The 25940-nt window shown below is 42.6% G+C and overlaps 2 pseudogenes, 4 gene segments (V, D, J or C) and 1 further gene, besides 18 other annotated features; all 7 read right to left on the bottom strand.

Annotated features, from left to right (window-relative positions):
* Positions 1–25940, bottom strand: part of TRB (T cell receptor beta locus) — a 514277-nt gene that overhangs the window by 404700 nt on the left and 83637 nt on the right.
* Positions 413–421: a recombination feature (RSS_nonamer).
* Positions 422–444: a recombination feature (RSS_spacer).
* Positions 445–451: a recombination feature (RSS_heptamer).
* On the bottom strand, positions 452–899 carry TRBV11-1 (T cell receptor beta variable 11-1). The segment is given in 2 exon segments: positions 452–749; positions 851–899. Coding segments are annotated over 2 exon segments (347 nt in total), but the record flags the coding sequence as incomplete, so codon positions are not given.
* Positions 8172–8180: a recombination feature (RSS_nonamer).
* Positions 8181–8203: a recombination feature (RSS_spacer).
* Positions 8204–8210: a recombination feature (RSS_heptamer).
* On the bottom strand, positions 8211–8660 carry TRBV10-1 (T cell receptor beta variable 10-1). The segment is given in 2 exon segments: positions 8211–8505; positions 8612–8660. Coding segments are annotated over 2 exon segments (344 nt in total), but the record flags the coding sequence as incomplete, so codon positions are not given.
* Positions 16137–16145: a recombination feature (RSS_nonamer).
* Positions 16146–16168: a recombination feature (RSS_spacer).
* Positions 16169–16175: a recombination feature (RSS_heptamer).
* TRBV9 (T cell receptor beta variable 9) lies at positions 16176–16650 on the bottom strand. The segment is given in 2 exon segments: positions 16176–16469; positions 16602–16650. Coding segments are annotated over 2 exon segments (343 nt in total), but the record flags the coding sequence as incomplete, so codon positions are not given.
* Positions 18881–18889: a recombination feature (RSS_nonamer).
* Positions 18890–18912: a recombination feature (RSS_spacer).
* Positions 18913–18919: a recombination feature (RSS_heptamer).
* On the bottom strand, positions 18920–19386 carry TRBV5-3 (T cell receptor beta variable 5-3 (non-functional); annotated as a pseudogene). The gene is given in 2 exon segments: positions 18920–19213; positions 19338–19386. Coding segments are annotated over 2 exon segments (343 nt in total), but the record flags the coding sequence as incomplete, so codon positions are not given.
* Positions 21902–21910: a recombination feature (RSS_nonamer).
* Positions 21911–21933: a recombination feature (RSS_spacer).
* Positions 21934–21940: a recombination feature (RSS_heptamer).
* TRBV8-2 (T cell receptor beta variable 8-2 (pseudogene)) lies at positions 21941–22401 on the bottom strand (annotated as a pseudogene). The gene is given in 2 exon segments: positions 21941–22219; positions 22356–22401. Coding segments are annotated over 2 exon segments (325 nt in total), but the record flags the coding sequence as incomplete, so codon positions are not given.
* Positions 23708–23716: a recombination feature (RSS_nonamer).
* Positions 23717–23739: a recombination feature (RSS_spacer).
* Positions 23740–23746: a recombination feature (RSS_heptamer).
* On the bottom strand, positions 23747–24209 carry TRBV7-3 (T cell receptor beta variable 7-3). The segment is given in 2 exon segments: positions 23747–24044; positions 24161–24209. Coding segments are annotated over 2 exon segments (347 nt in total), but the record flags the coding sequence as incomplete, so codon positions are not given.

The raw sequence follows: 25940 nt of genomic DNA, 5'->3' as shown, positions 1-25940 counted from the left end.
AAGGAGGGCCTGCTGTTTGTTACTTGCATGTAATCAATATCTATATTATTAAAGTTTAACACACATGTTTTGGTGATTAAATGTCTTTATTTTTCAAGTTTATTTATTTATTTTCTTAATTAACGTACAACATTGTGTGCATTTTTTATAGAAGAACAACCATCACTGCCCCTGAGGACTAGGTCTGGGATAAATCACTTTCAGTTTTGGTTTCTTGAATTCCCACCCAGAAGTGTTTCAAATCCCTAAGACATGTTTTCAACCAACAACTATAGCGCTCATGTTTTAAGAAAATAGTTCATTTCCTCCCACTATATGAACCCTAGCTATATCTGAAAACTCACTTCTTCCCTGAGAGGATGAGGAATAAGGAAAGGCTGCTGTGAGCTGAGTAGAGCGGAGAGAGCCCTGGAGTTTTGTGCACAGGACAGAAAGTCTCTGCAACGCTGTGGCTAAGCTGCTGGCACAGAGATACATGGCCGAGTCCCCAAGCTCTGCAGGCTGGATCTTGAGAGTGGAGTCTACTCCTTTGAGCCTCTCTGCAGAAAATCGATCCTTAGGCAACTGTGAATCATCTACTACACTCTCATCCTGAAATTGAACCAGAAGCTCCGGGCCCTGTCCCAGGATCTGCCGGTACCAGTAAAGGGTAGCATGGCCAGAAATAGGATCACACCAAAAAGCCACAGCCTGGCTTTTCTCTGTAATCTTATATCTGGGGGACTGGGCAACTTCAGCTTCTGAGAGTTCTGTTGGGGAAAAAGACAGAATTTGAAAACAGAAAGACAGAAATGATTGAAGAAATCACTGGAATTTCCAATGGGATGATCATGGTGTTCTTAGGACACACCTGCCCCCAGGAGACAGAGGGCCATCCAGCAGAGAAGCCTGGTGCTCATGGCAGGGTCAGGGCAGGATGGGAGCTTTGCCAGTTCAGGGTCCTTGTGAACAGGAGCAGAGGAGGTGGGACATCCTGTCCTTATACGGTAGTTCCTACAGTAACATCATTGTCTCCACAAGTGCCTAAGTTCTTAGAAACCAGTTGTTATGAACTAAAACAGAGCTAGAAGTTGCTTTAGCGTATTCATGGACTGTGTGTAAGTTCATCCAAGTGTCTTTACTCACATCTCTAGGGCTTGGGGGATTGGATCACCCACTGCATCTCCAGGGCCATCTTCTGCTGCATGTTTCTACTTGAATGTGTCAAAGGCAACTCAAAATACAGACAACAATTAGTAACCTCTATGTCTTATCTGTATATCCTTCTCTCTGGGCATTTCTGTCTTACCAGGTTCTCCATTTTCTCATTGCTATGAGCTTAGACAGAGTGGGAGCTGGGGTAGTTGACACAGGTTTATCCTAGAAGCATGTTGAACCAGCTGACATGCTCTAAGCTAAAGGGGTAAAATAATACCCTGAGAGAGAGTTGGAAGGGTTCATTTTTGGTGAAGGTCAATGGCCAGCTTTCTCTTTTCTGTTATCAAGCTTCATGATGCATTGTGTACCAAGTCTTCATCATGGTTCTGCCTATGGTTCTTGGTCATCAATGTAATGAAAGTTCTGATATCTTATAAGATGGGTGGGGACTCTCTTATCCCTGAAAATATCATTGTGAATACAGTAAGAGATCCAAAATCGGCCGGGTATGGTGGCTCACGCCTGTAGTCCCAGCACTTTGGGAGGCCAAGGTGGGTGGATCACGAGGTCAGGAGATCGAGACCATCCTGGGTAACACGGTGAAACCCCGTCTCTACTAAAAATACAAAAAATTAGCCGGGCATGGCGGCACATGCCTATAGTCCCAGCTACTCTGGAGACTGAGGCAGGAGAATGGCGTGAACCCGGGAGGTGGAGCTTGCAGTGAGCCGAGATCGCGCCACTGCACTCCAGCCTGGGCGACAGAGCAAGACTCCGTCTCAAAAAACAAAACAAAAGAAAAAAGAAATCTAAAATCAGATTTGTTGAAATCTTAAAAAAAAAAAAAAAACCTTACAGATTTAGTATAAGTTACAATTGAACAGCAGTGGCTAGTATCTGGCATTTTTTTTCTAATGGGGCAACATTAGTCACAAATATACTTTTATTCATTGCCTAAGGGGTAAAGGATGGGAAGAGTTAGGGGATGAAGCACCTGAGAGTTGGCATAAGACAATAATACAAGGAGATGCATGTCCAGAGAGCTGGGAACGAGGATATATGTGTTCAGTGAGGCAGGCTCAAAGTCCCCAAAACCTAGGGGACACATGTGAAGGTTATCAGGTGAATACCTGTGGGTATAGAATTACAAGAGCCCTCTGTTTCTGTCATAAATCCTCTATCACTGAGGTAAACAGCTGCTGGTTTGAGTCTAACTCATGTAGGCACCAGGTAACAATTGCATGATGGAAAATTTCTTCACATTAAGGTGCCACTACTTGCTCCATCTTTGTGACCAGAGTTGTGGCTCTGAGTTGACAACAGCATTCAGGGGATAGAGGCTGGTGGCTGGAAACAGGACGTATCCATCTATCAAACCTATCAATCACAGGACCCACATATGGTGTGCTTGCGAGTGAGGCATGCCAAGTCCAGGGACGACATTCCTCATTGTTCCTGGGCCTCACCTGCTTCCTGGGCAGCACAACCAAGAAATCCATGACAGAATCCTTGTCAAGACAGGAATGGAGCATCATCATGCTGCTCAGGGAAGAAAAGGCCAGAGCCCTGGGAAATCTGGCTCTTATTCAGAATATTTGCAAGGTTATTTGAGCTAAGCCTATCTGGAGAGGTCTGGAATTGTCCACTCCCCTCTCCTATGTTCCCTTTACATCCTCCTGTCCACCATCCAGGGCACAACTGGAATGGGTTAGGTGTGGGGTACAGGTGAATTGCTAAGGTTTCTCTGAGTTCTCCTGAGGAGGAAGTGGTTCTCCCTTTATATGGGTCTGTGAGCATGCAGGCTGGCTCCTGGCTCTCCTCCATCTATCCCTGATGCAAGCCCAGAACATTATTCACTCAATGTTTTGCTACAGTTGGGGTTTCCCTGCTGAACAGAGGATACTGGCATTGCTGGAAGATGAAGAGTTTCTGTTTAATGGCTCACATTCCACAGGACACTCAAACATCTGCAAACTAGATTCTGGATGCTGGGATGAAGTCACACTTTTCCTTTAAACTTAACTCCTCAGACAGCACTGAGCCCTGATTTAAAAGCAAGCCAACCCCAGCAAACCCTAGTGCCGCCTGCTGGTCAATGAACGGTTCAGAGTTACCAGGCTCAGGCCCTCCATTCATGGGTCAGAAATACTGGGGCCATGTCTACACTGTCCTCAGTAGAATCAGGGCTAATATTGGACAGTGTTTGCGCGGCACTGGGGGGAGTTCCTCCCAACTCCATCTATTCCTACTGTCTTGCCAGAGCCCCGCCTGCGGTTTGGCCGTGGTTTGTCCCCACCAAAACCATGTCCCTTGGTTTTGATTTACTTTTTCCTCTGGGACAATATCAAAGATCATGTATTTCAGGAAGTTGTCGGATCTCTTTAGTTACTTTTCAATGATACATCTCCTCCACCCACTTATTATATTTTCTGTTTTTCATGACCATAGATTTTTGAAGTGTCCTGGTCAGCTTACTTGTAAAACAGCTCACGATAAAAATTTTCATATTATTAGAGGTTAATTACTTGGAAAATATACACCATAGATGATGTCTATTTCCCATTGCATCTGGTCAATCACAAGAATATGGAATGTCATTTTTATGCATTTTGGCAATGCTTAATTTGAGATGACTGATCCAAGATCTCTCCATTGTGAATGTGCCCTTTACCCTTTGTAATTAAGTAATAATCTGTGTATTGATGCTTTGAAACAAGGTACATATGCTGTTAGGCCCCAAAAACATATATAAGGAAATAATGGTTGAAAATTTCCCAAATCTGAGGAAAGACAGCAACATCCAGGTGCAGGAAGCTTGGAGGCTGCCAATCAAATTCAACCCAAAAAGGAGTTCACCAAGACACAATATAATCAAATTACCAAAAATCAAAGACAAAGAAAGAATACTAAAAGCAGCATGCAGTGAGAAACATATCACATTTAAAGGAGCCCCAGTATGGCCTTCAGCAGATTTCTCAGCAGAAACCCAACAGGCCAGGAGAGAGTAGAACAGTATAACTCAAAGTATTGAAGGAAACAAAAACTGTTAGTTTAGGCATCTACTAATGGAATTTGTCTATAATTATGTGGATGGTTGCATTGATTTTCTCATTAGATATATCAACTAGCATTCTTCCGTAATGAAGAGATTCTTATCTATCTCTTTTGATTGTCATTATAGCCTTATAGATTTTTATAACTTGTTACAATTCAGTATCCTCATTATTCTTCTTTAAAGCTTGCATTGACCCGGATTTGGCTAATGGAGCCCCTTGAAATTGCTTCTGTGGATTTTGGACATGTCTTCTTGGTTCTGACCTTTTTCTTGATTTCTACCAAAAGATGTTCTAACACTTTTCCTTCCCTTGATATGGAAGCAGCCTTTTATAAGGAATAACATTTGGAATAAAATAATGTACCTATTGTTACTGGGGAGCACAAAAAAAAGCAAATATAGCCATTCGTTTATTTACTTTGTATTGTTTTTTAGACCCTTCTCTGGATAAAGTTAGGAAATATATAATCTTTAAAACCTTAAGTTTGCATTAATAACTCCAATTCAAGTCAGCACCACAGATTTCTTCCTCATCTTCCCGTTTCTTATTTATATCTCTCTTCTCTTTGTAAAAAAAAATCTAATTCCCAGAAATATCAATAAATTACTTATTTCTCTCTTCTACAGTATACCAAAAATGTCTCAGAAGTACTGCACTAAAAACACTAGCCACAACAAATCGCCCAAGAGAAGTTTAATCTCAATCTCAATTTCCTTTAGTATCATCACAGTACACCAGCTTAAATCTAAAGTCAACAGCGACTCTAAAAACACAATCAAATAAAATAAATATTACCTTCAAAGAAGGTATGCAAATTGCCCATAGGCACAAGAAAAGACACTTAACATCTTTAGTCATTAGGGAAATGCAAATCAAAACCGCAATGAGATATCATTCACACTTACTAGGATGGCTATAAAAACAGTAATCATCATCATCATATTTTTGAAAAGAAAAAAGAAAAAGAAAAGGAAATAACAAGTTCTGGAAATGTTGTGAAGAAACTGGACACTGCTGGTGGAAATCCAAAATCGTGCAGCTGCAACAAAGAAATATTTTGGTAGTTACTCAAAACGAGAAACAGAATTACCAAAGGACCCAGAAGTTCCACTCCTAGGTATAGACCCAAAAGAATTGAAAACAAGGAATCAAACAGATATTTCCAGGCCAATCTTGACTGCACCATTGTTCTCAATATCTACAAGGTGGAAACCACCCAAATGTCAATTGACTAATGAATGAATAAACAAATGTGTTATATACACACAATGGAATATTATTGAGAATGAAAAAGAATGAAGTTCTAATAAATGCTACAATGTGGATACACCTGGAAAGCGTTATGCTAAGTGAAAGAAGCCAGAAACAAAAGGAAAAATAGTGCCTGGTTTCATGTAAATTCATTATCTAAAATAGGCAAATTCGTTCATATACAAAATAGATTAGAGTTTGCCAGAGGAGGGAGAATGTGAAGTTATTTCTTAATGGGTACAGGGTTTCTGTTTGGGGTGATGAAAATAATTTTGGAAATGGATAATGCTGATAATTCCACAACAAGGTGAATGTACTTAATGTCATTGAATTGTACATTTAAAAAATAAAGTGATGAAATTATATGTTACGTGCATTTTATCATACTTTTTAAAAGATGGAAAGACTACCTTCAAAATAGGAAAAACACTGACAGTTGCATTCTCCATTATTGAACTTAAAGACAATGAAAGGAACCCAAGTGATTTAAATACATTGATAAATTTTCCAGAAATGTGGTTTGTCACAATATATCCCACAGTGGGTTTTCTGATGTAGTTGTAATTATCTTTTGTAATAAATATACAAACAATTTTCACCAGCCCATATGTCTACTCAAATGTAGGACTGTCATTCCTTGGAAAAGTATCCAATCTAGTAATTTTGAAATCATAACTTACTGTTTCAGGTTGCAATATTCTGATTGTAAGTAAGGTTGCGAAGTTATTCTCATGTTTAGTGGTAACTTATGTTCACTCTTGTGTGAATTGCCTACTCAGCCTCAGTATTGCTATTTTTATTGAGCTGTCTTCTTAATACTAAGTAATAAGAATATTTTACTCATTCTAGATACTAATTCTCTTAGACAAGAACAGCTGTGCTACAGAAAACAAAACAAACAAAACAAATCCTAAAATCTCACTGGCATAGCTCTATGAAGTCTTACTTCCCATGACCACAAAGCCCAGTGTGGCATGAGCAGCTTTCTTCTGTGATTGTCCACCAAATTCTGACTCAGTGAGCCAGGCTGCTTCCATATTATCATTAGGCAATCTGTACCGTGTAGCTCCCGAGTTCAGGACATGGCAAAAGAGAGTTGAAGAGTGTCTGTGCACAAGAGTTGACAGGAGGCTGGAGACTGCGGTGCTTAGAAAGTCCTGCTTGCAAGATTGGACTCTGGCAGACATCTGGGAGCTTGGCTGGTGAACGGTGCCCTGAACTGATGCAAAGTTTCTCCTGACTGACAGGGGTGGCTCATCGTTCCTAGGCTGGTGTTGCAAATAATATTATGCTGAACATCAGATTTTCTTTTGGGATCTAGACTTTTGGTTCATGCTAAAAAGTAGGTGCCTGTGTGACCAGCTTCTACTAAAACCTCTTGGGTGCTAAGTCTGTAATGGGCTCCCTTGGCAGATACACTGCACGTGTGTTAATGCATTTTTGCTGCTGGGAGGAGAGAGAGCTCTGTGTGACCCCTCCTGAGAGGAAGAGAGCATAAGGAAGCCTGCCTGTGAATTCCTCCAGATTCTGCCTGTGTGTTTTCTCCACATGTTCTGCTGCAGAGTATTTACTATGACACTTTAATAAATCTTAGCCATGAGTACAACTCTATGCCATATACCAACACTCTAAACATGGGAGTACATTTAGAGACCCTCAACATGGTGCCACAGAATATTTTTAAGGGCCAGGCTTGAAATGAGCTGACATCATTTTATCCCACTATTCAGAACCTGGTGACATGTTCCCACCCCTCCAACTGCAAGGGAGACCAGAAACCATGGAGGAGCTACAGGTATTCAGTGATGTTCTGAATGTTCTCTGTTACACTGAATGTTCTCTGTCACACTGATTTTTCATCATTTGTATGCATTCCTCATGCCTTTCCCAGGCTGTAGCTTAACTTTATTTTTTATGGTGTGTTTTGGCTTGAAACAATTTAATGCAACTAGCGTTATGAATGTTGTTCTTTTGGCTTGTGGCTTTTTGTCTCCTCTAAAAATGTCATCCCTCAACTGAATGCATAAAATGCTTTTCTTAAATTTTTCTAGTAAACTTTCTTTTTTGCTTTTTACAATTAAGAGCAAGTGTGCCTGAAATACACTTTAATTTAAGAAATGAAGTAGAGATGTAGGACTAAGTGGGTGGTATGTATGCTCAGTGCAGAAGAAAGAATTTATATAAACAATCCCCAGGGTGGAAAACAACAGACACATATGAAGAAATAACTGCATGTAAGGGAGTGTGGCTGGAGCAGAGAGCCAGGGAAAACATGGTGCAAAATGATGATGAAGAGGTACGTAAATGGCTAATGATATAGGACCTCGTGGGTCTATTGCCCTTAGAATAAAGGGCCCCCAGGAGCAGAGACCACATGGGCAAAGATTTATGATTGGGAGTTGAAAGGCAGTAGAGGGTAGGGGAAAGGGTATGTGGAAAAGTCACCCAGCCCTTAGGGTAGAGAAGAATATGGTGGGTTTCAAATTTTCAACGAAATTAGGAATCTCGACTAAAGATGCCTTTTCCATTTTACAAAAGGAAAGAGGGAACTGCAGAAGCTAAGGGTGTTGGGGTGACCTCCAGTTGGTCTGAGACTGGGGTAGGAATGGACCTCAACATCAAGGTTTATATGGCCCCTGCTCTATGGCCCCCAGGCTAGCCAGGGCTCTCCGACTCCTGTGAAGGCTGGGACTTGGGAGCACAGGCAACCTCAGTCATTCTAACTGCCCTTTATGTGCAGAGAGGAGGCAGCTGTGCAGCACTGTGGACTCACTGCTGGCGCAGAAATATACAGATGTCTGGGAGGAGGCAGCAGACTCCAGAGTGAGGGGGAGGTCCTCTGTGTTTGATCTAGAGACACTGTAGCCATCTGAGACTTCTCCTTTGTTAGTGTCGTGAACACCATATGAGTAATGGATCAGCCTCAGCCCATGTCCCAGGTCTTGTCGATACCAGAACATATTGTTGTGGTTCCAAGTCTGGTGACACGCCAAGGTCACCTGCCTTCCTGTCTCTGTGATCTTGTGTCTTGGGCTCTGGGTGATTTCAGCATCCCTGTGTCCTGTAATAGAGAACAACAGATGCTGATGCTGTCATCCCAACAGAAAAGCCTGCACTGAGGCCTTGGGAATTCCAGGGAAGGAGGCCCTCCTGTGACCAGCCCTCACCTGCCCACAGCAGACAAAGGGCCACATAGAAGAAGAGCCTCGTGCCCATTTCAGCTCCAGGGCAGGATCTTGTGTCTCCCAGCCCTGCTGTGGGCAGACTGAAGTTGGGCTCTCAGTGACTTGATGATGTCACTGTTCCTGCTGAATGCTTGAACTGCGGAGCTAACCTGCCATGCCCCTTCTCTTCCCCGCAGGAACAAATTATTTATAACAGAGTTGAATAATTTTTAGGTCTGTTTTGAAAGAAATCTAATAAACTCCTAAGCTCTTTCCCTGATTTTAATAGGGGAATTTGTTCTTCTATGTATATTTTATTTCCATCATGAGAAATTCTTTATTTGAATACTATTTTCACTTTTATGAATATTTCTGTAGGCTAAAGAACATTGTCATAGCAGTCCTGGTGACTTTTATGACTTCCTGCACAAAATTCAACTCCAAGTTGAATTATTTTCCTCTTCGTTTAACCTCTGGACACTTGTATGCCAGCATACAGGGATACCCTCGGTTAAATGACATCCAGAAATGTCTCCAAGTTCCAAGTTCCAGGTTCAAGGTCATGACCGCTTGAAGACTTGTTACATGCTGTAGCACCTCATTACACCTGATGGGAATGTCACCATCCAAGCTCAGGCTGCTGTGTATTCTCATGGGGGTGTTTTCTCCCTTTGCTTCAGGTGAAGCCACAAACACTGCCCCATCTAAGTCCCCTGAGTGACTGTACTTCCTGTGAAGAAAAGAGGAGGCTCATTAGGAATATGGATGAAATGTTCACCAAGAACTACACCTACCTGGAGTCTCTAGGGTCACAGGAAAATCCTCTATTCCCATCCAGCAGATCTTATATTCACCAAATGGGAGAAGGTTGATGGATTTGTAAACGTGCTATGGTGCAAAACTCACATGTAGTCCATAGCACTGCAATAGTTATTTCAGATACAATAGGCTATCTATTGCACATCTTGATGCAACCTGGATGGGTAATTCCCACAATCATGCTCCAGTGAGAGAGGACACAGAATCAGAAGTGGAGACAGGGAGGAGGCCCATGAGCACCCCCATAGGAGGCCGTGGTTGGGGCCCGACAAGCCCAGGAAGGACTTTCTCATCTATGCCCAGAACTCACCTGATCCTGGGAGACCAAGAGCCACACAGCAAAGAAGCCAATCCTCATGGTTGGGCCAGGGCATAAAAAAAAAAAAAAAAAAAAAAAACTTTTCAGATCAGGACCTTCATTTTGCAAGGTAAGGCACGTAGAATTCCAGAGCTCCAAGGATCATTCCCTAAATCAGGTATGATTTACCAAGAATGTTGATATTCTCAATGACACTCTAACTTCTCCGGGAAGATAAGCATCTACCAGGAATATATCCTTCTACTTTTAAATTAATTTATTATTAAGTATAATAAATTATAACAATTATGTGTTAAAATCGTCTACCTCAACTTGAAGCTTTGTCTGTTTTTTGCACTGGTGTTTCCCAAGTACCTGGACAGTACCTGTGTATTTGCCATGAAGCCGATGAAGAATAACCTCAGGCCTTCTCACTTGCACAGGGTCTTTTCAACTCTTTGCTATTTTGCACTCTCTTTTGCAAAGAGCTACCTAAAATGTATCAGCTTTGTGCGCCACAAAACTTGAATCTAATCTTCACCTATAATTCATTAAATATTTATTGAATGAAGAAAGGAATGAATGATTATCTGAGTCCAGGCAGATTCTACTTCTGTAAACAGAATCCAAGTTTATTCAGTTCAAAATAGGTTTGAAGTTTTAAGGGAGCAGAGAGCCATCCTGAGAACGCTGGGAATTCCAGATGAATCCAAATGGATTTGGAAAAGATTAGTTTATATACATCATCATAAGACTTTTTAAATGAATGGGTAGCCATATGAATAAAAGATAAACAGTTGTCTCCTTCAAAAGGTAGGGTCTTTTGATGGTCGCTTCATTCCATCACTGCCACAGTTTAGTCTGTCTCTGAAGACAAAGTCTGTGATGGGGAGACTTGGGTGCATGTAGCTTATTTGGGAAATGATTCCAGGAAGAAGTAAGAGAGCAAGGAAAACAAAATAGGGAAGGGAGAAACCAGGATAAAGGTGCAATATTGTATTTGTGGCGGGGCAACAGGAGACGGAATCCATCAGGACCTCCAAGAGCATAGGGTGCTCTCTGGAGTATCTGCATGAATGGGCAGGTTGGAGCTTTTGTCCCCGTCCTGTTCCACCAGGAGCATCAGGACCTCTGGCTGTCTTTGAATACAGCCCAAGTGGATTCAGATACCAGAGAAGACCCCAGAGCAGGAAGCAGCAACATTCCAAGCAGGCACTGCAGAAGGGCACTGTCAGCAAGAGGTGAATGGGAACTGGCACCGTCCACAGCAGCAAGGCTGAAATCAGAGGTGGGCGGAGAGGATGTCATGGAAGCCACTAGAGGCTCCTCTGTGGTCTTCTTTCCAATAAAGCTGTGCCTTCTTCTATCAGCTCTCTTGTGTGATGTACAATTGCACTGAAGCCATATCTTTCTAGGAGCACCACACCTTCATGCACATCAGACTCAGTTATCAAGCAGGAAGTTCATAAGAGGTAACATTTTCATATTTCCTTAAACGGCAACTCTTTATGTTAATTTTACATAATGAACTATCAGACTACTATATTTGCATTTTAGATGACTTTGTGTCTGAAACATGATTTAATCAGGCAAAAGTAATCTGTGCTTGTCTTTGTTACCAGAATTTCAGAGAGTAAATAACTGTGCTAGATTGGAGATTTGTCAGAGAATTTATAGGGACCTAAGATTTCTTGAACCTACACTTTATATGACTCTAATTTTTAAAGTTACCTCTCTCAAATCTCTGCCAGACTGGCCAACATGGTGAAACCCCATCTCTACTAAAAATACAAACATTAGCTGGGCTTGGTTGTGTGTGCCTTTAGTCCCAGCTACTCGGGAGGCTAAGGCAGGAGAATTGCTTGAACCCAGGAGGCGGAGGTTGCAGTGAGCTGAGATCGCGCCACTGAATTCCAGCCTGGCAACAGAGCGAGACTCTATTTCCAAAAAAAAAAAAAAAAATCTCTGCAAATTGAATTCGGTTTACAAATGAGAACACTCAGCCAAATATATTTCAGGTCACCAGCCCAAGGGGTCAGAATATGAACTGCCGAGGTCTCCTTGTCTCTTTGATGAATGAGGACTATAATCTGCATTTATAGATATTTTTAACTCCCTTTCTTCACCGTTCCTGTCGGTCTCAGTCTATTCCTTTGCGAGATATTTGTCTTTCTTGGACTGCTTGAAAAATTGTGTCTTCATCATTCATATTCTTCTATTTTAACACTGAGGTAACTATTTAACCTGGGATTTATTTGAATTCTTGAAACTCACGTTTTAGGTCTTTAGATGTCTCTGGAAATTTCTCAGCTAGCATCACACACAATATCACCTCATATCATTCTCCTTATTTTCTTTCTCTGACACTTCAATGACATAAGAATAAATGGAAAATTCTTATGAAATGTTACATATATTCGAATATAACTGAAACCTCCATTGTTTCTTCTCTGTTGCTTCCTCTCTGTTTCATATTATACATTTAATTTTTTGTGTTGTTTTGGGTAACTTCTTAAGATTTGTCTTTGAAGTCAATAATAATCTCTTCAATGAGCATCTAATCTGCTCTTCAATTTATCTGCTTTCTTTTAGTCATTTTAGGGATCATTTCTAGACATCCCATTCAATGCTTTTAAAAAAGTTATCTAATGATTTCTGAGAGTCTCTTTTTTCTTGTTCAGGTTTCAATTCTCTTTTGTGTGCATTTAACTACAGCTCTTCAAACTGTCATATGTCATGATGCTAAAATTTAAACCTTCAGGCTGCCTATTGCGAGTGTTTATGAATTCTGCTAACTTTTAATATTCTTCATAGTGGCAGTATATTTGTCTGACATTCATCTATGGGGTTTTGGAGAGGCTATAGCACAGCCTCAACAGCCAGTACCTTCCACAAGTGTCTCCAGTCTCACCCCCCCAACTGCATGAGTCAAGAACTGTCTGCTACACTCTGGGCTGCTAAGCACACCATGGATTATGTTCCTCATATCATAATCTTTTCTCAGGACAACCCCAGTGTAGGCTCCAGAAGAGAGTTCTGATTTTCTAATTCTTCTTCATTATACTATCTTCACAAATTAGAGCCCCTGAGCCCTTGAAGTTTTATATAATGAAACTTCCTAAATCTGCAAATATTATCTCTTCTTTCCTTTTTGTCCTACCCAAATCTTCAGGCACTAGCCTATATATGCAAATTATATTTGTAGACTTTATACTTATACAAGATAAAGAACGTACCATATTTTAAATTAAAAATTCCCAAACCAGCTGACAAACTGCTTCCATAGAGAGTGGCCCTAGGCTTGTTCAACAAGTGAATGCTCATTTATAAACCCCCACAGACCATCTCAGTCATGACTCTTCAACTCTTAACTATTCTGGACTCTGGGTAACTAGGAACTAAAATGTGAAAAAGAAAGTCCTAGTAAAGAGATTTGTTTTACCATGGGTTGTTTTAAGACTATAATGGAGTGATATCCTCAGTTTACTACTTAGTTCCAACTCATTCAAAATAAAATGAATATACTTTACATTGAAACCATACGCTCTTCATTCTCCCTTTAATGGGATTAAGAGGTCAAATTAATCGTAAATTAAATCTGCCTAGATATCTAGATAGACCTGGTGGTCAGAGGACAAAACTCTTTTTTTTTTTTTTTTTTAAGAGATGGAGTCTTGCTCTGTTGCCCAGGCTGGAGTGTGCAGTGATGAGATCTCAGCTCACAGCAACCTCTGCCTCCTGGGTTTAAGCAATTCTCCTGCCTCAGCTTCCCACAGGTATGTGCCACCATGACCAGCTAATTTTTGTAATTTTTTTTTTTTTGGAAGGAACGGAGTTTCACAATATGTTGGCCAGGCTGGTCTGGAACTCCTGACCTCAGGTGACCAGACCAGACCTCGGGCTCCCAAAGTGCTGGGATTACAGGCGTGAGCCACCACGCCCGGCCAACAAAACTCTATTGGCAAGACCGTTTCTGGAGGTTGGAAAGAGGCCAGTATCTGAATTAGTTGCTGTGGGGTTAGATACTAGGACGTGTGATATCCTGGGGGGACCAGATGATATGGGGGTCAGAGGGTGAGGTGTGTCTTACTAGGAACTGAATGAAGTCAGGAGAAGGATTTTCTTAGGAAATTTTCTTTCAGTCTTCTCAGACATATTTGGGCACTTTTACCCTGTCTGGTTTTTCCTGTTTAGTGCCAGGTCTACACAGGGAAGAAGGCATCTCTACAGCACTGTATTCTTACCCTCATCAGAGAAATGCAGAGCTAGTCCCTCAGCTCTGAGAGTTTCACTTTGAGTGAAACTCAAAGTTTGTCATCAGATTACTGAGCTAGGGGTCAGCTATGAATCCATGAAGTGCATTTCTCATACTGTGGAGCCCAAAGGGAGACCAGAGCACTTGCTTGGGGTATAACAGAACTGGGCCCCAGAAGGCAGCTAGAGGTGAGCTTCCCTCCCAGTGCCTCCGTGGGCTGCCGCACATTGACCAGGGGCCCTGATATCCATGCAACTCCAGCAGGGCGGAAGTTCAGGACGGAGATGGGAGCAGGAGGCAGATCCCTGCGTCTGAGTGGAGGGAGACTGCCGGCACAGGTTAAAAGAAAAGCCAGTAGCTGGGGCCTGGAAAATCTAGGACAGAGACATCTAAGTTGTGTCCACAGTCACCTGGGCAGCAGTGGTGCCGCCAAAAATGGATCCTGGGGACCATGATAGGTTGAAACTCGTATGTGACCAGATGCCTCAACCTGGGAGAATCCATCCCGTACCGGGTTGTGTTAAGTTAACTTAGCCAGGACAAGAAGTTATATTTCTAAGAATGCCTTTATCTTTATGATTCTGGGTTACAGTTGGTCAAGGAGCTATTCGAGTGAACTGTGGAAGATAGAAGTAAAACTGTCACCACTATACTTGGTAGGACATTAGGCTAAATGAGATAAGCCAATCACAAAAAGACAAAAATCTGCATAATGTCATTTACATGAGTTATCTAAAATAGTCCAACTCATGGAAGCAAAGACTAGAATGGTAGCGGTCAGGGTCTGGGGAATGGGGTAAATGGGGAGTTGCTGCCAATGGGTATAAAATTTCAATCATGCAAGATGAATAAGATCTAGAGATCTGCTGTACAACGTTATGACTACAGAGTATAAAACTGTATTGTGTGCTTATAAGTCTATAAAAAGGGTAGATCTCATGTTAAATATTGTTACTAAAAACTTTAAAAAATCTGGCAAAAGTGTGTAGGTAGCCAAAGAGAGAAAGAGAAGAAAGAGGAAATTCGTATAAATCAGAAACTGAGTAAACTAATTAGAATATACCAAAAATTACAGACTTTGATACCCTCAAATGCAAGAAACACCCTTTTCTTCATTTTTAAAAAATTTCCCTTTTTTCCAATTATCTTTTTTCATTGTATATTTCATGTGATATAATCCCTTGTACAAAGTAGGATGCCCCAAAAGATTTATTGATAAAGAATAAAAAATTGGCCTAGTGCAATGGCTCTATAATCCCAGCACGTTGGGAAGCCAAGGCAGGTGATCACCTGAGATTGGGAGTTTGAGACCAGCCTGGCCACCAAAGAGAAACCCCACCTCTACTAAAAACACAAAACTGGCCAGGTGTGGTGGAGGCCACCCGGGAGGCTAAGGCAGGAGAATTGCTTGAACCCAAGAGGTGGAGGTTGCAGTGAGCCAAGATAGCACCACTGCACTCCAGCCTGGGCAACAAGAGTGAAACTCTATCTCAAAAAAAAAAAAGAATAAAAAATATTAACTAATGAATAACAATTTTTCATGTCCTTTCACTGATGGCAGATTGCATCCGCCACAGGAAGACTACACGCCCCATAAAAAACGTTTCCTGCTATTTGCTGTGAACCTAGGAAAGCTCCCTCCTCATACAGTCTCCATAAAAGAGATGACCTGGCCTTGCCCATAGGAGGGCTACAGAGCAGAAAACTGCACCTTTCTTTTCTTTCTTTTTTTTTTAAATCACAATAAAGAATAGATGGATATGTTTTGCCTGGAAATCATGTGTCCATTGGACTTGTCAGGGAACAAGTTATCATGATCACAGTTTCATATATGACCTTAGCATCCTGCTCTTGGGGACACAAAAAGGGGACACCAGGTAAAAGGACAGATCTCCGGAGTGAGGAGGGACAGTGCAGAGGTGTTGAAACAATAGACTTCAGCTAGCTACTAAATATGAGCCCCAGGACATCTGCTGTCCCTCAGATATATAAACAGGTAAAATAATATTTCGCTTACACAGCTTCAGTGAGCAGTAAACCAGATCACATACAGAAGCACCAGAGAGTGCCTGGGAAAGGCCTGTCCACTCTCCAGGGCCTGAGCCCCTCTGGCTGGCAGCCCTCCCCTCACCGTCACTTCCTGAGTGGGGCAGGAATGTTATTGCACAGAAGGCTGATGCTCATGCAGGGCTGTGCTACGCTGCTGGCACAGAAATACAAAGCTGAGTCCCCCAGCTCCAGAGAGCTCAGGTTTAGTTCAGAGTGCAAGTCAGGGAACTGTTGTGCGGAGAATCGTTCAAGAATGTTTCCTTTTGCTCTCTCTTCTCCATTATAATAGTGAATGAGGAACTGGAGGCCCTGGTCCAGGCTCTGTTGGTACCAGTACACAGAGAGGTCTCCAGACCTAGGGGAGCATCTCAGCGTCACTCGCTGTCCAGTTGCTGTGATCAGGTGCTTTGGGGTTTGTGTGACTCCAGAATCCACTGGGCCTGTGTGTCAGAAGACAAAAGTTAACCATAAGGCACAGAAGAAAGCCTCCTGCTGAAGCCATCGTTGGCCCACATGCATTTCAGGGACAAGAAATGAAGATCGGAGACTTTCAAGCTGTGCCCAGGACTCACCTGCTCCCAGGAGACAAAAGGCCACACAGCAGAGGAGCCTGAAGCCCATGGCAGGATCTCCTAGCTTGGGGCTGGTGTCTCTGTAGTAAGCATTCTGAAGTTCCTAAGCTCCCTTCTTCCTGATAGGAGCATTGACCTGTGATGTCACCACACTGACATACTTTCCCCTGCAGGCCACTCCAGCCCACTGTACTCTTTGGCAGGCCTCAGGTTCTGCTACTCCATGTACTATTCCTGTCTTGCACAGGCCAGAAGCTAAAGGTGAGGAGGACTGAACACAGTACCAACATACCCACATCACACCTTACTTTCCTCTGCCCGCCCTGTCCCTGCCCTGACACTGATTCCCCAGCCCTTGCCACCCCAGCCCCTTCACCCTCCACTGCCCGTGCAGCAGCAGAGACACTCCCTCCTTGATGCAAACTGAGGCCTCTGGCACCCCAACTCTTTCAAGGCAATGATAGTCTGTGCTTAACTCTACATGGCCAGGCCCCACTCAGGGAATTCCATCCACCCTACTGATGCCAGCAGGCAGCCAGGGCATCCCCTTCAGTCCTCCTCTCTTGGCCACTCTCCCACCCCTCCGCTGAGTTCTCTGCAGCACTGTGGAGCCACAGCGCCTCCAAGTGGCCAACAGTCTACAGTCTCATGGATTCATACCCTCTGACGTGATATGCTCAAATTGTCCAAATCAGAAAGAGAGATGCCCCCACTCCTGCCACCCCCACCCTCTTACACACCCCGTCCATGCTTTCCCAGAAGAGTCAATTTAGGGTTGATTTTCAAATCTACCCTTAGCCAATGGAGTCAAAGGACACATGAACCAACATTTTGATTACAAAATAAACAATTGTTACATAATTGCAAATAATATGTTAAGATGGTAGAGACCAGCCAGAATTATAAAGGCCATACAATTAAACAGTGTGATGCTATCAAGGAAACCCAGCCTGGAAACCCTATATTCCACAGCTAATCCCAGTTAATTACACCCATATGTTTTCATATTTTGTATTTAGGTTCATTATTACTAAATTTTAGACAGTGCATTTCACAAAAGGATTTCTAGATTTTAAAAATTTACTTCTAAATTATAAAAATTTTGAAATGAATAATACTGCCAGCTGTAATTCAAACAGATTCAGCTGGTTCTCACATTTGCTATCATTACACAGAAGTGACTTTGATCTCTAACCAGGAAATAGTTAGTGGTTAATAATATCCCTCACATGAATAAAAGTAATAATATTCCAGAACTCTATATAAGCAGGAATTAACATAGATTTCACAACATCAAATAATATTCATTATATATTTAATTAATACTTGGCTTTTCCTATGAAAATAATAAAGATGGTGGTATAGTACAATGCTGGGGAATGTCATGGTAAGAAGCAAAGAGGAAGCAGGTGTGAGCCCATCCTTGACCGATAAGCAGGGTCTGGCTGTTTCTTGGGAGACAGAAGGTCCTTCCAGGCCATGGAAATACTGAGCACAAATGCAGAGAATGTAAAGGCTGCAGAGTTTTAGGAAATATTCAAAGAGGTGTTTGATCACAGAAGGTAATGGATCTGGGCGGTAAGTGTCAGAAAGAGATACAAGGGAAGCAGAATGTATCTTTGGGGAAATGGGAGAGCCTTTATCTGTTTACCATCAGCAGTGAAATGAATTCCTCTGTTTTGAGAATTGAGATATAAGTCCAGAAGGAAGACATTGGAACCAGCTCCAGGGCCCTCCCACAGGGCAACTGGCTACGTGGTGATGACCATCATAGAGTGGCCTCGGGGTGATGCCAGTTGCTACAAGGCCTTGCTGCGTATTTTCTAGCAATTGAAAACTTTGACAGGTTATGTTGCAGAGAACACAATTTTTTATCATCTGGTAGCTCTACTTCTATTTATTTAATAATCTTTAATCATGTTCTCTCTCCTCAAGTTTCTCCAAACCAAATCTCAATTTCTTCTCCCTTAATTATATAAAGCAAACCCTTGAGATTTTACCTTCTATACTACACATCTGTCGAACAATCCTGACACCAAAATGAATTTCTTTTTCTAAAAAGGAGAGTGCCAGCTACTCTATCACTATAGTGTACAGCATCCGACAAAGAAAGTAATTTTGCCGTGAACCTCCTGAAGCAGCACCATCCTCTGAGCATATCCTCCTGGCCTTGTTTCCGCCAGCCTTGTTCAGAGTCCTGAAATTGTTTATCTTTCCCCCTGAAGGCCCCAGGTACTCACAGCTGTCTGGTCTGAGACTGCTGTACACGGAAGCAGAGAGATTAGTGCACAGAGTTCCAGTGACTCTGCAGGGCTGTGCCAAGCTTCTGGCACAGAGATACAGGGCCGAGTCCCCCAGCTCCAAGGCACTCACATTCATCTCAGAGCAATAGTCATGGAACTGGCGCCCTGAGAATCGATTAGGGAAGTTTCCTTCTGATCTCCTTAACTCATTAGCATATTCAAAGATAAACTGGGGCCCCTGACCCGGGGCCTGTTGGTACCAGGACACACTGCTGTGCCCAGAGATAGGAGAGCATCTCAGAGTCACTTGCTGTCCTCTCGTTTTGATCAGGTGTGTGGGACTTTGGGTGACTCCAGCCTCCACTGGGCCTGTGGGAAAAGCAGATGGAGGATGAGCACAGCAGACAGCCTGGAGGTCCTCCCCAGTGTAAAGTGGAGGACACAGGGGTGGGAAATCTGAGAATGGGGCTGCTGTTCTGTGCACAGGACTCATCTGCTCCCAGGAGATAAAGCAGTTCCCAGCAGAGGAGCCCAGGGCCCATGGCACAGTGGGGCAGGCAGCACTGCATCTGATTCAGGGCTTGGTCCTCCTGGGGAAGGGCCAAGTGAGTTCTGGGCCTTGATTTTCCTGATGGGTGGGGTATCCTGTGATGTCACTGTCCTGTGTCCTCCCTATAAATGCTTCCTGAGGTCCAGTACTCCCCACAACCTGAACTCCCTCCCTGTCCAGCAGAAGGGTTGGGTGAGGGCAGAAGCTTCTGTGATGAGACAGTTGCTCCTCTGCCTACACTGCTCCAGCTCCCAGGCTGCCCCATCACCCTCTCACCCTCCTCCCACCTAGTGCTGTCGTGCTCCATGCTGGAGCTCACACACCTGCCCATCAGCAGAGGGTGAGGAGCCTGTGATTAAACCTTCTTGTTCCAGCTCTCCCTGGCTGTCCTAATGTCATCTCTCTGACGCTAGATTCAACCAAATTTTCTAATTCTATTTTTTTGTCCTCAGAAAATATTTCCAGCCCCTCCCTTGAGTGGCCAGTGGTGCAAAGTCCCCAAGATTTAGTCTATCTGATCAGATCCAAAGCAGACCTTGGTTGTCTGTAAATTATTAAGAGTACAGATTCCCCAGAAATAATACTAGGGCTTTATCAGCTCACAGCACAGACCTAGCCAGACAGTTTGGGATTCAGCACCCTCAAGGCCATCTTATGCGTAGTGATCTGGATAATTTACGTTAATTTCTCCAGATCCACCCTGCCTTCAGAGGCTGACCTCAGTGTATTATGTTAACTGGCTCTCTTCTTCTCTAACTCCAGAGTGAGTTTGGCTAATGGGAGACAATGGCAGGAGAGTAGAGGGAGGTAGGGGCACCACTTGTTCTGATTCATCTATGCCCTGGCTATCCTCTTGCTTCATTATTTTATATAGGTTACTTTTCCCTACCAAAGTCCACAGCACCTTATAGGCAGCCTTGCCTTAGAGCTACAGTACCTGATGCTTTGGGATCCACATCCTCTCCTACTTATTTCAGGCCAATGTGAATAAGAGCCACAGATTCTGCTGTTCTTAGGCTACTTCTACTTCTCTTACTGGGTTCCCTTAACCCTGCCACACCTTTGCAAATACTCCTTTTGTCCCTCCTTGATATCTCCAGGACCACGACTAATAGACACAGCAATGGAAAGGTGAGTCCAGGTATTTTATTTTGCCTTAAGAGTCAACACAATTTCTAACATTCTGCCATTAGAAGTAATACAATTTCTAATATCCTGCAATGAGCATTGCTAAAAGAGTCAGGAGAACCATGAGAAATATGCATATGAAAATAAACCATGTGACAGGGGACATAGAATCCAAAGAGATTCCAGCAGAGAATCAAAGTGCACGCTCACCTACTCTGACCTCTCCCCATAAAAGATGAGAGTCATATACAAATAGATGCTTGTATTCTGTACAGTCCTATTTAGAAATGCACCACATAAAATAAGAATAAGACAGGAACACACTCATGACCACAAAAAATACAGAGAATGTGAGACGTGCTTCTTGCTGAGATACACAACAATCAAATTTAGTATCAAAGTGAGCTGGACTGATAAGAGGCTAAGACACAACTGAGGATCGATGGCTGAAAGAAAGCTATAGACAAAGAAAAAAATGCTCACTCGCTGTTGAAGTTATACCAAGAACCATGAACTGTCATCAGTCTCATATATTAGCCTTTCATTTTGACTTTCAGCAGATTGGCCAATTGGTGAATTCATTTTTTTGCCAAGCAAGCAACCAGCTCCCTTTTGCACCGGGATATGCGCTTCTCCCTTTAGGTGCTAAAGAGGACTACAGGCTACAGGAAAATAAAATGTGTGTTCTATATTATTTTATAATATTTTACAAGAAAAACAAGTTAAGGAACTCATGGATTCTAATCCAAGCCACAGTGATGGTAAGAATTAAGTTCCTTCCTTCATCTATCCTCAGAGGACCTCAAACAGGTACTCAGTAAGAGTCTTACAATCTCTTTGATAATTCTACTAGCTGATTATCTTCAGGTCTAATGGCAGAGTTTGTTGTATTTATTAACATTCTCCCTAACTGGATTGTTCTCTTGTGTGTTTATAACTTTATAACAAAAAAAATGGATTTTCTTGTCCTCCACAGAACACATGCTTGGTATCTAAAGGAACCAAAGCCAAGGTGATGTTATGTATGCTACCTGAGAATCCCAGATCACTCAAGCAGGCTAAAGCTTCCCAGCTGCTTTCTGCTTTTTTCTTCTCTCCTGAAAAGAAAGTGAAATATGAATTTCTTGTTAGAAGCTACCATTCCTTTGCACAATTACCAGAATATTCCAAATTGAGCAAAATAACATTACGTTGTTTGCATTTACACATCCGCACTACAGTGACAGACCCAGCTCACTCTAAGTTTTATGCTGCAGGAGCACACATAGAATGAGATCCCATTGCTGGGAAGTCTGGGAAGAGCTTCAGAAAGGGCAGCTTTTTCTTCTGGTTGAGACACGGGCTTCCATAAGGAGTGCCCACCTCCAGCCTGTGACTGCCCTTTTTGTGCAGAGGGCAGCTGGCTGTGCAGGGCTGCGGATGTGCTGCCACAGTGGTACAGATAGGTCTGGCTGGTGCTGGTGGATGCCAGGATTGGGGAAATGCTCAAGCTTGTTTCAAGAGACACAGTACCCCTCTGTGACATCAACTTTGGTCCTGCTGTGACCACTGCCTGAATAGTGGATAAGCTTCAGCCCCCGTCTTGGGTCTTGTCGATATCAGAACACTGTTCCTAACCTGAGCACATTCCAGGATCATCTCTTTCTTCTGTACAATGTGATATCTTGGCATCTGGGTGATCCCAGCATCAATAGAGCCTGCTGGAGAGGCAGACAGAAAGTGAAGACAAGACTTAAGAAATAGGGGGACTCTGCAGAAGAAAGGACAAAAAAGGCTTGTAGCCCAGACATTGCAAACCCATGACAGGGTTTTGCAGCTGTTTCCAGAACTTATCTGCTCCCAGGAGACAAAGGGTCACACAGAAGAGTTTGGGGTTCATGGTAGGGTCAGAGTGAGGAGGGGCTGGCCCAACTAAGTGCAGTGATCCTCAGGACTGTGAGCTGGGGCTCGGAGGCTGCTCCCTAGGGAATAGTCTGGTGGGCCTGTGGTGTCACCCCCCATGCCTACGGAGTCCAGCTGGTCCAGGGCCTTCTGACTGGTCTCAGGCAGGATCCACCTCCTCTCATGAAGGCTGTTGCCCGGCGAGGTCTGCAGGGAAGATGGGGTGCAGCAGAGACATACTGAGCTTAGGGCACAGCCCGCCCCTAGCTTTCCCACGTTCCTTTGAGGCAGTTGCTCCTCTGCTTGCACCTGCGCTTGACACCAAGGCTGCCAGGCCAAAATTCTTCAACTGTGGATCTCATTAAAGATTAGAGGTATTTCCTGCATCTTGCATAGCTGTAGGTAGCCTAGCAATGACTGAAAACTGCTGCAACATCTGCATAATATTGGATTCCAGCCCTAATTTTTCTTAACCCTTCCCTTCCTAGGCTGCTCTCCCAGGCTCTCCCCAGAGTCCCTTAGATCCCAGTGGACCACAGTGCCATCTTGTGGCCAATACGTGAAGTTTCATCATTGCTTTTGCAATGGCCCAAGGGATGCTGGGAAGTGTCTGCAGAGTGAGTGAGAGACTATTCTAGAAGTGTCATCCTGCAGGTTTTATGAGCAACTTCCCTAAACCCTGATTCCAACACTAGTTCTAACCCTGACTATTGCTTTACTCAAAGCTTAATATCCCACCCTCATTCTAAATAACTCTTATCACATAGCTGCAGTTAGAGTCTAATTAATATTTTCTCCCTTAAAACTATCATATAAAGGGAGTGGGATAGAATGGGAGGAATGGAAGAAAATTGGATTTACTCTTAAGTAGGCAGAACATACAGGAATTGAAGTGCATAGTTATTTCATTTCATTACCAAAGATGAAATACATGTCCCCCAAAATAACAATCAATGTTACCATAAACATAAAGATTAGCAAAAGATTAGGATGATAATGAGATTGCCTTCAAGATGGCATCAAATACGTATTAATAAAAAGTAAAATTTGAATGTAAAAAGTAGGATCTTTTGTAGGCAACAAGTAATCTTGAAGGGAGCAGTATCCAATGTGGAAAATAAGGATGGATAATGAAGACCAGCAACGAGCCTTCCACAGAAAATGATTAACATATACAACGCACATCTGCTGATCTGAGCAGCGGACATGCAAGCAATGATTCTGGAAGAGGCAGTGGAGTGGTGTGAGATGAGGATCCCCTGGTGCAAAATAGTATCATAAGGAAGCAAGGAGAGAGAGGAGGAGGTTTATGAGCAGGAAGGAGGCGATTGTGTCATGCTGTGGTTAAGCTGCTGGCACGGAGATACGCGGCTGAGTCCCCCTGCTCTGTGCGCTGGATCTTCAGAGTAGAGACGGATCCCTCAGGCCTGACTGCAAAGAACCGATCTTTGGGCAGCCCTGAGTCATCTGCCGCACCCGTGCCTTGGAAGTAAATTAGAAACTCTGGGCCCTGCCCCAGGCTTTGTCGGTACCAGTAAAGGGCAGTATGACCTGAAATTGGATCACACCTGAGCTCTACATCTTTTCCCTTCTCTGTGACCTTGTTACTGGGGGTCTGGGAGACTCCAGCACCTGTGTGATCTGCGGAGACACAAGTTGAGAACAGGATGAGGAAAACAGTTGTACTCATCACACACACACACACACACACACATACAGACACACAGAATGAGACTGGTTGGTGTCTGAGGACTCACCTGCCCCCAGGAGGCACAGGGCTGCCCAGCAGAGGAGCCTGGTGCCCATGACAGAGTCAGGGCAGGATGGGAGCTTTACCAGATCAGGGTCACTGTGAGCAGGAGCAGAGGAGGAGGGACGTCCTTGTCCTGACACAGAACAGTACCCACAGTGACATCACTTCCTCTCTCAATCCCCACAACCTCAGGAACACAGGATTTATATTAGAACACACTTGGATGACTGCTTTAGATATTTATTAGCTCCCTTTAAACAACATCAATGCATCGGTCTTCACTTTGTGCTCTAGAGCTGTCTGGAGCTACAGGCCTCATGCTGCATTTCTGAGTTTATCTCCTCACCACACAGGCGCTCCTCTGTCTGCTGGGCATGTTCTCTAGGATGTGCCAACAGCGCCCCCAACACAAGGCACCAAGGGATGAGCTCATTGTCTTTCCTGCAAGTCAGGGTCCCCTATGCCATCCCCATTGATGCCCCAGCCTCCTCCATCCCCCAGTCACACGTGCCCAACGGGGCTGTCCCAACACATGGGTTCCCTCACAAGCTGCACCTCATGCCTTTCTTCTGGGACCACTTCCCACCTTTGTTGACTATAATTCAGAAAAGATACCTTATTGGAAAACTCATAGTCTTTTTTTTTAATTTTTCCACTTGTAAATATATTTTCCTCCATCTCAGTGTTTAATGAATGGGGATTATAATTCCTACTAAATGGTTATTTCTGATCCTCTTTCTTTCATTGATTTTTTCAGTCTATTCCACTAGGAGAGATTTATCTTTTCTTTTTGACAGCTTTTAGAATCATCTATTTGTCACTTATGTTCCACAATCTCATTATAATATAAACATTTATCTTATTTCATATTCATTTGAATTCTTGAAATTGAGAATTTAGGTCCTGAACCACCTCTGGAAAATTCTCAGCTAATGTCTCATCACAATCACTTATTCCCTCTACTTTCTTTTCCTGAAACTTCAATTATCTATAAGAAAAATGGGAAATATATATATTTATATATTGTATATAATATATTCTATAGAATATATTTATATATTCTATATTATATAATATATATTCTATATTATATAATATATATTATATATTATATATTATTATATTATATATTTTTATATAATAAATATATAATTAAATATATAAATATAAATAACTTTATATAAATAAATATATATAATTAAAAATTATATATTCTACTATGCTGGAAACCACCCTTAAGCTCTTTCTAAAGTTACATATTTAATTTTCGGTGCTGCATTCTATGTAACTTCTTCAGCTCTGTCCTTGACATCACTAATAATCTCTTAGAAGCATTTCATCTTTCTTCATTTCCATTTTGTTTTCAGTGATAATCTTAATCATTTCTGTATTGAATTTGATTTTTTTTTAATGTTATCTTGATGGTTTCTGTCAGTCTTTTTTTCTTGTTCACATTTCAATTTCCTTTAAATATAGTTCTACAAACTTTCATACCTTTTAATGGTAAAAATTTCTTGTCTTCAAACACTTCAATTGCTTATTGTTTCTGCTCACTTCTCTTCATTGGTTCTTGTTTTAATAGTCTTAATAGTGGAAGCATATTTATCTGACATTAGTCTGTGGTGTTCAAGAGAGGCCTGCATTGAGAGTGAAGAACTTCAAGACTCCATGGTTTTTCCAACTGTCTCCAGTCTTACCACCAAATTCATGGGGCCAAGAATTGTCTGTTGCACTCTGGGTTCCTGAACATGCTCATGGTTTAGGTTCCTGGGGAACATGCTCTC

Source organism: Homo sapiens, chromosome 7, assembly GCF_000001405.40.
Source record: "Homo sapiens chromosome 7, GRCh38.p14 Primary Assembly".
NCBI classification, from domain to species: Eukaryota; Metazoa; Chordata; class Mammalia; order Primates; family Hominidae; genus Homo; species Homo sapiens.
This window is presented reverse-complemented; position numbering and strand designations above follow the sequence as displayed.